The 14,851-nt window shown below is 34.6% G+C and overlaps 1 protein-coding gene across 4 annotated transcripts in view; it reads left to right on the top strand.

Moving 5' to 3' along the window:
• Positions 1–14,851, top strand: part of CDH8 (cadherin 8) — a 389,189-nt gene that overhangs the window by 318,015 nt on the left and 56,323 nt on the right. For 3 of the 4 annotated variants that reach the window (NM_001796.5, XM_005255760.5, XM_047433484.1), the window contains one exon: positions 4,466–4,583. In NM_001796.5, coding sequence (NP_001787.2) covers positions 4,466–4,583 — 118 coding nt within the window. Of the gene's footprint in view, positions 1–4,139; positions 4,247–4,465; positions 4,584–14,851 lie in introns of those variants that run through there. The other variant, XM_047433482.1, reaches the window with a different exon arrangement.

Here is a 14,851-nt window from a genome sequence, read left to right as displayed (position 1 = left end):
TTGAAGATACCATGCTGTTCATTATTGCTGGATCTTCCTAGAGATAGACATATATTCTAGAAGCCTTGGAAAATATTCCAAAAGTTACAACAGAATAGGGTTTTCTCACCTTGTCCATACATAGAAAGAACTATTTCTTTTAAATGTTCACTTGGTGTGCATTTTACTGGTTAGAATCAATCAAGAACCTTCAGACTGCTAAAGCAAAGCAAGCAAGGATGGATGGGTCATGCTTACACACTCCAAAATATTGAAGGTCTAAGCCCCAATTTAACAGAAATACATATATAGAAATTATAAATATCTACAAGGTTTTGAGGACGCCTGGCATATTGAGGGCAATGGGTGCAGAGAACTTGTAACTAGGCTTATCTGGGATCAGACATTTTATACACACTCACACATACGTATACACCCACATGTACATACACACATGTATGTGTGTATATATACATATGTAATATATACTTCATATAATTTGAATGTATATAATACATTAGATATATCACAGTGCTGATAAGTTTCTTAATATTTACCTCTCAAGGTATTGTGAGGATAAATGATGATGCAAAAATGTACCTGCCATCGCTTATTTATTATTCATCCATTACTTCATTTAGCCAATAGTTATTAAATAGTTGCCATGTGCCACATGTTATTCTAATAGTAGTGAGGGGGGATATCTCATATATCCCCCTGACACATAAGGTCATATTGATAAATAATATCTACAGGAACTCACGGAAGAGGTTCTAATAGATCCTGTGATACAGCTATGCTTGTTAACAGATCAGATCATCAAAAATGTATTTCTTTGCTGACTGCTTGACCTTTCAAAAGTTAATAATGGCAGTGATATTCTGCTACTATAATATATTTTTGAGTTAATGTAAAATAGTCCAAAATAAAGTTTAATATACTCTGTTAAAACAATCTAATTTAGATTTAGAATTTTTGATAAACAATGAAAGATTTTTAAGGGTCAGAATTATACTGTAGCACACAATTGTTTTCTAGTTTCATGTCTTAGAACGTTTATTTAATTTCAAATCTGTAGTCTCAAGAAATAGAACAGAGTCTGCTCCTCTGAAAATCCAAGCATGGTTCTGGACTTCTTTTCCTTATCCCAACATCCCAGATATGCTTTGTTTTCTCTAATAAAGACATATATTTTGCTTTCAGCTTTCCTTAAAATTGAAAATATTTCAACAATAAATTATGAAACATTAGATTTTTCAGTTGCATACTAACTTTATTAGCAGAAGGGAAAATATTTAAGCTTAACTTTAGATGCATATTTCTCAGAATTTATGACTGCTCCAGAAATTTTTATATTATTGCCATGAAATGAAATTACTTGAAAAAACCAGCTGAGGTCATCGTAGCTCACAGTGGACCCTACGTGGTCTCCAGTTGCCCTCTACTCGGTATGTCAATACAACCTGCCTCTGTGAAGGTACATTTCTTTGAACAAATCTGTTCTTTTTCTTTTACTGTTTAAAGCTAAGTGCATTCAAAAGTTATTTCATCAATGAAAACTTTAGCCTCATTAGTATGGATATCTTAATGCATTTTAATGGTATGAAGTCCTTCAAGTGACCTACTTGGCATCTACTTTTAGATAAAATGCCAAAGCAGGGGATATCTGTTTTGAAGTGTCAAATGTGGTTTAACCAAAAATCTTAATCATAACCAGTTTATGGGATATTTGGAAGAAAATGTAATAATTCACCAGTTCAGCCACCTTCTCCCCAGCATATAATGCACTGAGCTTGACATGAGCTTGACAATATAAAGCCTCTTAATGAATTATGAGGAGAGAACTATGAATATGAATCTTTTCCATTGGCTCAAAACAGTGGTTCTCATACTTGTGTGTACACCAGAATTACCCAGAAGGCTGTTTGAAATACAGATTGCTGAGTTATAATCTGAGACTTTTTAGTCAGTAGTTCCAGTGGCTCAATAAATTGCTTATCTAATGAGTTCCTGGCTAAAATAAATGGTGGAAAAATGTATTAAATTTTGGTGTGATGTTTAGACCAGACTTCTGAGATGTGATGTGGCAGGTAGTTATGCTTCTTTGCTACAGGTAAGCTATATCATTGTATCTTTTGTTTTGGTCATGGTGGCTTAGCTAATCAAATGACTCTCCTGTAGATGCAACAGCAGGTATGAGCCATTTTCACGCAGATTACTTGAAAATAGTATGAATGGTATTAATTATGGGAGCTTTATCCACTAAGTGTACTGTAGGAAAGCATTTAATTATGACTGATCTCTACTTGAGAAAACCAAGACATCTTCTCTTCATTTGCCCTTATTCTCCATATGCACTCACACACTTCAGGAATTACATCTTCAATGGTTGCACCTGGGGCTAGAAGTCCTATAGAGAGAAGTCTGGGTAAATGGAGAAGGAGCTGCTACATTTGCTCACAAGCAATGTTTTTCCCTGTCTTCTTTATAATTGCCTGAAAGAAAGCTCTTGTCAAAGATAGTCATTCCCTTGACTTTTTAACATGAAAATCCAGCACAGCTGTTCTGAGGTGAAGTGGTCAACTCATACTTTTCTGTTAAATATTTTTACTTGCAGGCTGTCCAAAGGAGTTATCCATGTTTCAAATCTAGACCCCTTGTACTTTAACTCATGTTGATTTTTATGAAACAAGTACCCTAGGGCCTCTCTCTACACTTAAATGTCAAGGCAAATATGCTATGTGTTTAGGTACAGTAAATATAATTGCATTCTCCTTTAGTCTGATCATGTTGGGTCATTGAGTAACAGAGTTGTTACATTTATAAAAGATTTATCAAAATGCCAGGTCATCAATAAATAGCAATGGCCCTAATAAATATGATAATAATAATGATATGATGACTAAAATTTTATTGAACATTGACTAGAAACCAGAAACTGTCAAAAGATTTATATGAATTTAAATCCATAATCAAAACACACCTATGAGAAAAGATGGTTTTTGCATTTGTATTTCTGGCATACAAGAAATTGAAGTTTCAGAGACTTAAGTAACTCCTTCAATGTCACACAATGAGCCACAAACAGAGCTGTGACTTTTATCTTATCTGGGAAGCTTAACTCCAGAGTCCTTTCTCTTGATGACTATCTCACTGTCTTAACCATGAGTTATACTTTAAATTATTTTATGTTATTTTGTCACTCAAGCTAAGAATAATTATAATTATTTATAAGACATTATAACTAGACAAAAAGGTCCTTAACAAAAATCAAACACTTACAAAGTAAGATTATGTTCCATTTTAAAAAGGGAGACCTAGAAATTAAAAAAAAGTATTTTATTTTTGCCTCAAGTAAATTGAATGAATTGCCTATCATATAACATGTGCTTGATACAATGCAAAGCCCCATAGCTGCTAAAAGTTCTGAAATTGTGCTTCTTACACTTGAGTGGTAAGTTAGAAAGCAAAGATGACCCCTTCTCAAAAGGAATTTTTTTTTCTCTTTAATAACATTTCAAAGTTCAATGGGACATAATTGTTCACACAGACACAATAGCATTGACATCATTATTATATCCTCGAAATATCATAAACCTGAGAACATTTCACTGTTAACTACTTTTTATGGTAAATCTATTATCACTATAGGAGTATACATTCAAACTTTTCCTACATTAGCTCTTGTCCCGCTTGTCACATTGAACTAGCAATATCACAGAATCATAAATACAAATTATTAAGATAATTATCTGACATCCCAAGAAACAACTTTAGCATTAAGTTAATGCAGCTTTACAAATGAAACAAGCACATTTAATAAGCACCGATTCCAAGTACCTCTATCTATCCAAACATTTCTCTGCACCGTGGTAATTCTAATCCCTATAATTTATTCATCTCAGGATACACTCCAAAGCATTGTTTGCATGTGTTACCCACTAGCTTTAAAAAACAGTATTAATTATTGGGAGGGAACAGAAGCAACTCATCAGAGAGGTTTGTTGCAGTGATGTTTGTGCTGAGGAACACTATTTGGCAAACATTTATAACCTGATGAGTAAAAGAGTTGTGAGGATTCAAGATTTAAGCCATTTACCTCAAAGATCCTCCCAAGAACCACACTACAATCACTGTAACAATTCCAAATCTCATTCTAGATGCCCGTAAATACTCAAATTGGAAAGAAACCTGTAATTGCCCAGTGGATATTTCAAATACACTTAACTTTGCTATTTCAAGCCACAGACACCAAATGGACACAAAGGTAATGCTCTTAATTTTCATCAACTTATCAAAGCTGAGGTTTTAAAGTAATGGATTTTTCTCCTTATTCTTGGCACAAACCATCCATGACAATTTAGAAAGCTGAAAAAGAGTCTCTGAGCCAAAGTATCAGACCACAAAAAGAATGTCACTAAGCTTTTACCGATGGCAGGAGCCTCTGAAATCATCAGAAATGCTGACGTCAAGTTTTATGTTTCAGGTCATTCAAACTGTTAGCGCCATGGACAAAGATGATCCCAAAAACGGACATTATTTCTTATACAGTCTCCTTCCAGAAATGGTCAACAATCCGAATTTCACCATCAAGAAAAATGAAGGTAAATATATTAGCTTTGTGAAACAGAGTACAATATAAATTGGAAAATAGGATGCAATTTCATAACATAACTGAAAATTATCATTAAGATAATTTTTGTTCAACTATGAGCACTTGAAATTCAGCTTATCAGTATAATGGCATGGTAATTACCTTACTTCCTATTTTCAATATTTAAGCAATAGATAAGAACTTTGTTAATGTAAAAAGTTAATTTTTTCCCCAGGAAATACTTCAATCACCTTACTTTAAAAAATGAAGAGTAAAATTTAACCCCTGTGAAAGCTTCCAGGTATTTTGAGATTCTGAGATATCCCTAAGAGGGAGAATTGGCCTACACTTTGTAGTTGTTAAGTTTTAATTGAATGTTTACCACGTCTTTAGGGAAAGCTATTCTAATTTTGCCTGGTTTGTGAGTACACATTAAAGGTATTTGTTTTAAGCCTGTACCAACTTTAACAATAACAGTTAGTTCAGAAAATCCTCTTTGAAGGACATTGCTTATCAGCATTATTTTGGAGCTAATATGAACTGATTTATTGTTAAGTCTTTCACTCACTGAGCACATTTAATCCATTTCATTAGATTTTCTGAGGACCAACCTTGGATTACTGTTTTCTTTAACTATACTATTTATTATATGTGAAAGCCATAGATTATTGTTTAAAGTCTATCTCATTTGAAAATTTTTATTTTCTAAGCAGCCATATATTAAAAAAAATTTAAAACTTGATTTTTGTTCAAATGTATTTAAGTCTTAGTTGTAGCTGTTTTAGAATGATTAGCAAAATATAAGCAATGTCTCAGGCTTTTTTCTGGCTTTACTGCAGGTATCTGTTTAGGTCTCTCAATGGTCTGTATACAAGCTATACTCAGAAGAGTAAAATTTGATTCATGATATCTGTTCCTATTGTTTGCAATATTCTATTTAAAGGGATAGTGAATCTTGATAAAATTTCCTTTATGAAGTAAAATAACATTTTATGGCTAAATATATTATGGCCTTGCCTTTGAACAAAATGCTACATAGTTCTGTGGGGACGCTTTGATAAATGTGGATGAATCACAAAAAGGAAATGACAGTTGTTATATAGATATTACTAATTTAGCTGACTTCCACTATTATAAACACTGAGGAGACAAAACCCTTTCTGTCTCCTCAATAATGGAGTATTCATTTGTTAGCCACCCTTGATTGGAAACTGTAATCCAAGTACATTGTCATTGTTTATTTATTAGCATCACCAATATTTTTTAATGGAAATCATATGAATATTTCTAACACAAAGCCTCCTTAGAAACCCCAAACTGAACTGGAAGTCTGTGCATAAGTGTGGTCCGTGTTTATTCTGATTTTGAACTAGTAAGTATCAGGCACTATTTTTGCATATAAAACGCACAGCATTTAAAATTCTCCATGAATAAGTTATTTCCCATTCCAAATATTCTGAGATCCTTAGTGTTTCCTGTAAATTTTGTAATTTCAAGATACACTTCTTGTGTGGCTCTAGAAGGCATCACATAAGGTATTGGGTGAATGGGAAGATATTATTGGGTACCAAGGAAAGTCTAATTTTGACACGTATTTATTATGCCTTAATATTTTTAAACAGGAGATTTAATTCTACAATAAATGAATTTTATGTGTTTTCTTGAATTTTGGAATTAGTAGAAGGTAAAAGTTTAAATATTTAGAATACCTCATTCTGCTTCATCACACATTATGATAAACCCTGTAATAGAATACTTAATGTCATGTGGATTATCTGTTTTATTTTGAAACTGGAAAATAGAAGTTAAAATTATGATCTATCTTATAGGTTTTTCATATTATTTTGCTTTGTAAATTTTTTAAAGATGTCAGTTATTATTGAAAAATAACTTGAAACAGAAAGAGTACTCCATACATCATGATTGCTTGTTTTAGACTGTGTTTATTTGTTTTACAAAGAGCGACCATGTAATTTATTGTTTCTACTGGGACATGTTTTAAAGTGAGAGGGGTGGCTGCTTATATTTATGTCTGAAAAACACCATAAACCAGGACTGCCTTATGGAAAGTAGGACTTATGTTCACTGTGATTTTGGATTTAGGATCCAAATCTTCAACATCTCCTTCACAAAATAAATCATGAAACCACAGGTTTGAAATAGATATATAAAGTTTATACTCTATGTTCCTCTTCCTAGATCAGAAATCCATGAGTTTTGCTTCATAGACCACTACTTACTTGGCACCTGAATAGGTACTGTAAAACAGAAAAAAAATGGGCTTGTCTTAATATGTAGAAACAAAATAATGAAAAGAAGCTGTAAAAAATGTTGGATATATATATATTTTCCTTCTTAAGATGAATTTTAAAATGGTCAGTATCTGATGCTTCTCTACTGAGAGCAGTATGAGTTACAAGTTCCAGCCTGCAAGAAAAATGTTAAAATGTTGAGAGAGCTAATATAATCAAATCTATTGTTGATGAATAAGTTTGTCTCCTATTTAATTTGATCTTTAAGGGAGATGATTTCAGTATTTGGCATTTTCTAAGGAACTTGCCACCATATATTTCAATTCAAAATTATTGTAATTTTTCTTGTCTCTTATATGGATTGGTCCTAATGCAATTTCTATCAATTAATTCACAATAAAAGACAAAATGAGATAGAAATGAGCTCTCTCTTGTCTCCTACACAGTTGAATTATTTCACAAATAATTCTACTAAATATATGAGAATCATATTTCTGCCAGAATAGGAAAGCAACCTTCAATATAAATAAAGATAGAAGTAAAGGTCAAAAATACAGTGAACCTTTTATACCACATGTTCACACCAAAAAATCAAAGCACCTTGAATATGGTCAAGATATTGATTTCTTCATCTTCCAGTTGGCTGAATTTATAAGCAGAGAGTTTTGTTGACCACATTTCAGTATTGGCCTCAATTTTAACCATGGAAATGGAAAATAGCTAACAATTAAATATAACAAGACAGGGAAGAAAAAAAGTGACCTTTTAGAGATTCTAAAATATCTTGTTTGCAGGAAATTTGAGGTCTCCAGAAAACTACTCTTCCTCAGCCTGAACACTGTAGGTAAAAAATGTGATTCAAATTGCCAGAGCACCGTCTGGTGAAATGGGAGCCCTCATGGTTTATACCGCAATTTTTAAATCATGTGTGTAAAGAAATGAGAGAAAATACAAATCTCTGCTCTCTAAGGAGAGCCTATGGTAAGACGAGAAATAGACAGGGGACCTGGATTTAGTTATAGTTTGGTTATGTTTAACCCAGCAGGAGAACCATAGTACCTGATGATACCAATTTGTTTTTCCTTCTTAATGTCTCCTCATTGACTGAAATATTGTTGATAAGAAGCTTACTTTAAATGCATACTTTTGATAATTAATTTGAATAATGTAGATGCTAACCATTACTTTGGAATAAACATGCCTCGTGTTACCTCATTGTCCATAATATAGTTAACTGTATAGAGTATAATTTATGCATTGTCTGATAGATTTCTGTCTCAACCGAGTGGCCTAGTTCAAATGGTATACAGTTTATTTATTTTTATCTTCTGGAAGTATCGAATACTCTTACTTTAAGCAAATCATTTTAAGCCTCAGTTTTCTAATCTGTGACACCAGGATAAAATACCTGTCTCATAGTTGTGCTGTGATGGATATGTGTGAACTAGGACTTAGACATCAATTGGCACAATGCCTGGCATATAGAAAAACACGCAACAATAAGTGGGACGAGGTCCCTTTATATGTGAATTCATTAATTCCTTCTCATACTGTATCTCCTCTGGCTTATCATTCTCAGCCAGGTCTCTTTGAAGCTTTAAATCTTCAGAATTATAAATCTTGTGCAGTGATTTTGAACGTGGCTTCATCAGTAGTTGGGAAAACACTGATCCTCACTAGAATGCATTGCAAAAACATCTGCTTATACAGTAACTGCAATGTATTGCATTCTAAAGGGTATTAAAATAGACAAAATAAAAAGAAGGAGGAAGAAGATGAGGACCAACTATGAAAGTATTTATCAGCCACAGAAATAGCTGCAGGATTCCTGCATATGGTTTTGAATATGATGACTTTTTTTTTTTAACCTTTCTATAGCTCCATTGCCAAAACGAAACTCAGGTTTCTCCACACAATGGTAGTTTCCAATTGTTGGGATCACTTTCAATTCTAGCATATAAAATTGTTCTAAATTGCCTCCAAACTTCCATCTCTCCCTGCAAACACACATACTCTGTGGGAACCATTTACATAGCTGGAAAATTACAGACAGCCTTCCTTTGCATTTTTGACTACCATCAGCCTATCTCAAACTTCCCGTGTTGCAAAACCAAAATTTGCTGCCTGAAAGTGGAAGTGGATTTTCCTGATTCCCATGCCAGCCAGAGCTAATGCTCTGTCCTTCCTCTTTTCTCCAGCTGAATCTTCAGGAATACATTTTCTGTATTCAGGATGTAGGTTTCAAGGCAGACAGAGTCATTCTGTCCTCTGCCTTAAGCCAGGTATACCTAGCCAGGCTGGATTGTACTTGAAGGACCTATATGCTGATATACATAGCAAGGAGGGCCACCTTGCTAAGCCAATTGTCCTTTTTCTGGCCACCTGAGTCTTCCTTAAGTTCTGCTATTACAATAGGCTGCTTTGGAACCAACAGAAGGCTTTCCTAAAAGAAACATCTCTTGTTCAAGTGTCCTTTATAAAAACATCCATACCCTTAGCTTCAGCAGATCCATTATTATTGGGTTTCCCAGGCAAGCATCCCCAAACAACAAGCAGAAACTGTGTACTTGCATGAGTATGATAGTTAATATCTTAATATATTTCCAATATGATTGTATTGTCTGTTCTGCTCACATAGTGGACTTTTTCAAAGCGCAACACACAGCACCAAACGTTGACTGGAAGTGTTTTCCATGTAAGTTGTCTACTATTACCTATATGAAGCATGGGACATTTCTTCAATGTTGAATCATAAAAGGTAGTGCTCAATTTGCATGAAACAGGAGGTGTGACAGATCATAGATACGGAGAACAGCACTATGCATATATGATCCAAAAAGGCTTCCGATTCAGTAATTTATAGTTTATTGTTTATGCTTCCAGCAATGTGCTGTTGATAAAAAGACATTTATGTTTCATTTTGTCACCTAAACTGTAATTAAGGGCGATGTGCAAGCTAAGAAAAATAGATAAAACAGATTTGTGTTTCCAGTTTCTAAGTTGCATATGACTGTACACTTAGTGTCACAAGACAAGGAGGTTTTCTTTGCTTGGGTAGTTTTTGTAAAACTCTTGTTATTTTGTAGTTTTCATATTTTCATTTTCTTTCTAAAATTGTAATTTAAGAGTACCTGCAGAAGTGAACAATTTTCTTTATACATGTTGAAAAATCCTGAAATTATTACTCTGGTCAGACATAGCACTGCTGTGGGTATCTATTTTTTAGTGTATGTTATGGAAAACAATTTAGTTCTGAGATTACTGACCACTAGGATATAATTCAGATACATAGCATAGATTTTATAGTTTATAGGTGTGGTTGTCAAAATGCTGTTCAAAGTTTTGAATTGCATCAGATCTTTTCTGTCAATCTGCTAGCAAACATTTCCAGCCTTTACAGAGCTTTCTAATTCTGAAGAAAATAAATTGGTACATGCTCTAAAACTTAAAGTATAATAATAATAATCAAAAAACAAAATAAATTGGTACATGCTTAGTTATCTTAAAGATGCCTTCGTGCGTAGAATCTTTCCTTTGAGTACTTTGCTTTCTGAGACTGTTGCCCCAAATCATTATATAAAATAATAAAGGAAGAATATAAAGAATTATTTAGAAAAAATGTTTTTCATTTAGACAGTCTTGTCCATACCACTTTGTTGTTTGTTTCATTAAATAATAATGTTATTTACTGATTTATCTTTTACTTACAAGCATAAAAATCAGTCTTGGGATTTTGTGGATATTAAACAAACATAACTGTCCTTTGGAAAGCACAACCAAATATTAAAATTGAATGTGGAAACAAAATGATCTGTCAGTCTGTGCAAATTCTTTTTTTTTGAAAAAAGATATTAAATGTAGTTGACAATTATTTCAACTCATTACAGCACAGAAGTTTGCATTTTGCATTAATTTCAGCACTTTATAGATACAACATTGGGCATACGTGACATTCCATCTGCTAATGTGACCTGAGTAACACCTACCAAGTGCTTCAGATCCCTCAGTTTATTGAAGAAGTAGATAGAGAAGGCAGGAAAATAATTTGGCAACAAAAAAGCAGGCACTCTGCATAGATAAACATGAAAAAAATTGTCTTGGGATGAATTAGAATGAAACATAAGGGAGAGACACTATGGAATATATAATAGCACAGGCTTTATAGTTAGGAATATTTAGGGTTAGCTCTTCCGATTACGATCTATGGGAACCTGCAAGGTAATTGAATAATCTTGAACATTTGTCTGTATAATAATATTTATCCAATGTTGTTTTAAATAATAAAATATTAAGTAAAAAATTTAAATGATGTACAAAATTCATTGACTGACAAATTGGTGATAATAAATAGTTTCCTTGTCCTCTTCCTCTCTATTAAAATTTAATGAACCTCTTGAATCTCACTTGTTCACCCAATGCAACAAATAAAAATATTAATAAGGAACCTAAATAAGGTATTTGGGAGATGATTAATAATATGCTTTTCCATTTTCCCTTACTCGATGGGCCAATGATTGAACATGTCTGCAAACATTGTCCATGAGTAAAGCACAGGGAAAGGAGGAAAGAGAAAGAGAAGTATTTGGGTAACTTAAGTAGTTATTTGAACATAAGCATCATTACAGTAACCTAATCAAAGAATAAAAATGGAGAGTACCTAAAAATTGTTCTTTTTCATTTGGCTGGAGAGAGCATAAAGTTATTTACATAGTGGCAAGTGGAATATTTAAGAGTGACAGAATGACCCAATTTTTAAGCCAGGAGTATCTTAGCAAATACATAGCTTATGAAAGTCTTGTATGCTAAATATAGAACTTCATATGTACTTAAAAAGCAGAAAAACACCAGGCAATGAGATTGAATGTCTATCTTCCTAACTTTATTTTCCGTTATTCTCTTCCGTCTTCTGTGCCCTTATACATGCTTTGGTTTGAACATGCCAAGCCAGTTACACTTTTTTTTTTTTTTTTTTTTTTTTGAGACAGAGTCTTGCTCTGGTGCCCAGGCTGGAGTGCGGTGGCGCGATCTCGGCTCACTGCAGGCTCCGCTTCCGGCGTTCACGCCATTCTCCTGCCTCAGCCTCCTGAGTAGCCGGGACTACAGGCGCCCGCCACCACGCCCGGCTAATTTTTTTTTTGCATTTTTAGTAGAGACGAGGTTTCACCGTGTTAGCCAGGATGGTCTCGATCTCCTGACCTCGTGATCCGCCCGCCTCGGCCTCCCAAAGTGCTGGGATTACAGGCGTGAGCCACCGCGTCCGGCCGCCAGTTACACTTTTTAAATCCCCTCTCGCTTCCCCTTTGAAATTCCCATCCTCTGCTTTATCCCTCTTCTATTTAGCCCATTTTAAATCATTCACAATAACTCAGGTATTGGCTTCCCTTATCTATGGGCAGAGCAAGTGGGTGGTTAACAGTTGCTGTAAAGTTTTTCCTCTTTTCTTTTCTCTGTAGGACAGGGTGGTAACTGCTAAGGCAAACACATGACTCAAGGAATGTTTTCCCCACTGTCTTCTGAGGTTATTAATAATGGATGGTATCTTTTTTTCCCTTATTCATTCATTCAATACATATTTATTTGGTGTCCATCATGTGCCAGGCACACCCTTAAGAATTGGAATTGGAAATAAAGCAGTGAATTAAATAGACACAGGTTTTGCCCTTCTATACAGTATATTTTTGTTTTCCTCAGGACTCTGTCTTATAACAATTTGAAATCTTAGAGAGGAAACTATAATTTACAATGAAATGTTGTGATAGAGTGGGGAAATTTGCAGGCAAGTCTGAACAATATTATGATTTTGTGGGAATTATCACATAGTCTAACTTCTATACTTTCACAAACAAAGTTTCCTCCTTAACCCAATTTTGTGAACCTGGCCTTACATAAAGAAGTGTAAGATCTTCATGGATTCCATCATTCCCATTCCATCTTTAGGAAGCATTTGTCTGGTCAGAATGGTGATGTGCGTCTTTAATCATGGACAGCTAATTCTCCCTCTGAGTTTCATATTGGTGTCCTTATTATGCCTGAGCTCAGATGAGGTATGTCGAACCATACTATTCAATGTCTTTATACTAGCAGGGTGAAAGAATGTCAGTGAGCCCTTTCCAAATGCACAGTGATCCGTAGACATCACTGTCTTTGGTGATAAAGTACTGGCAGTGAACTGGGGCTGATGATTCCATTTTGCAGGCTTATTGGAAACCATTATACTTTTCATACAAGTTGCATTATGTGAGGTTCATGCCTTTACCAGCTCCTATGCATGGTTGTTTCAGGTACCTGTCAGTTAATGGAGGTTTTAGCTCACTTTCAGTGTACAGTGTTTACTGAAGCCTCCTGGAAACTAGAGAATACTATTGTTCTGATCTCTGGCCGTGACACTGGGTTCATATTCCATCTGTTGCCTATTCTATCTGTTCGCTAATGTACCACCAAAATCAATGTGCTGATGCACTTTGTTGAGGAAGATAGTAATTGCCGTGCTTGGATCTTTTTGGGTTACTCATTGCCTTTGCTTTCATTCTAGTAGATTGCCTACTAGAATTTCCTTCCTCTATTGCTCAAGTATATTATCCTCAGCCTTTTGAGGCTGTTTATCTTAGGGTGGTCTGAAAAGAAGGTGATACTGTACTGGTATGCTGAGCACAATCATCCTTCCCTGAATTTCATTCTTTTGCTTGGCCAGACAGTCATTGCTAGTTCCATCAAGGTCACACTGTGATTTACTTCTCCCTGGAACTCAGTTTTTTCTCTTACAAAATGAGTGGGTTCATGCTAGGGAGCTAAAGGCTCATCTATCCCAACATACTGAGTGTTCAAACATGTGGTGTTAGAAGACATATCACAAACGTTAAAATCAGACAAGTCCCAAGTCCACCAATTAACAGAGAAGTGACTTTGGACAAGGCTTTTAACTTTCTGTAACAGACTCTAAGTGTTTGAAAATGTTGGAACAAAAGCACTGTGATGAATAAATGAAAGAATGTAGGATAAAAGCCAATGGAAGTTACTGTAATTTCTGTGGTACTTTATGTACTTTCTCATTTTTTTAACTTTCAAAAATCATGGAAGTGATCTTTACCATAGAAATTACTGTATAAAATATCTTCCATATTAAAATATTGGATAGTATTATTAAAAGATACGCTTCTAAAACATTGTAGCTTTTCTTTCTCAGTATCTTTGGGCAGAATTCTTGAGAAACTAAATAATTAAATCATTTTCATAAAATAAAATAACTCAATAAACATATGACAAATGGTCCCAATAGTTCGTAATTTGGGAATATATTTCATTTAAGTCTGGAGACAAGGAAATAGAAGCATTTTGTAAAGCTATTTATTTGATGCCATTTTGGTTTATCAGAGAGATCTTTCAAAATGAGAAAGCTTTAGTAAACTTTTACAGACATGAAACATCGCTATGTGCGTGTCAAAGTTAAGGGATATACCTAGAATGTAGTTTACTTAAAGGAGAAATAGGGATTGTCCAAAAAAGTTTTTTAAAGACAAAAGTTTCATGAAGTATTTTCTGTAAATACATAGGCCGTATGATCATAAGACCTTGCTTGATTCTCCAAAAGGAAATTAATGAGATGGTTTTTGGTATCTTGATGTGCTTACATCCTTTGTTGGTGTTTATTTGAGGCTTTTACACACACAGACACACACAAACACTGTTTAATAATGGGACTGGAAAGTATATTGATATCAATACATATAATATATATCAGTAATACGCATGAAAACTTTTTTTTTTTATATGGAGTCTGTGGCCCAGGCCTGGAGTGCAGTGGCACGATCTCGGCTCACTGCAAGCTCCGCCTCCCGGGTTCACGCCATTCTCCTGCCTCAGCCTCCCGAGTAGCTGGGACTACAGGCGCTGCCACCACGCCCGGCTAATTTTTTTGTATTTTTGGTAGAGACGGCGTTTCACTGTGTTCGCCAGGATGGTCTCGATCTCCTGACCTCGTGATCCATGCGCCTCGGCCTCCCAAAGTGCTGAGATTACAGGCGTGAGC

Source organism: Homo sapiens, chromosome 16, assembly GCF_000001405.40.
Source record: "Homo sapiens chromosome 16, GRCh38.p14 Primary Assembly".
NCBI lineage: Eukaryota > Metazoa > Chordata > Mammalia > Primates > Hominidae > Homo > Homo sapiens.
Note: the sequence above shows the minus strand (reverse complement) of the source record. Positions and strands in the feature narration are given on the sequence as shown.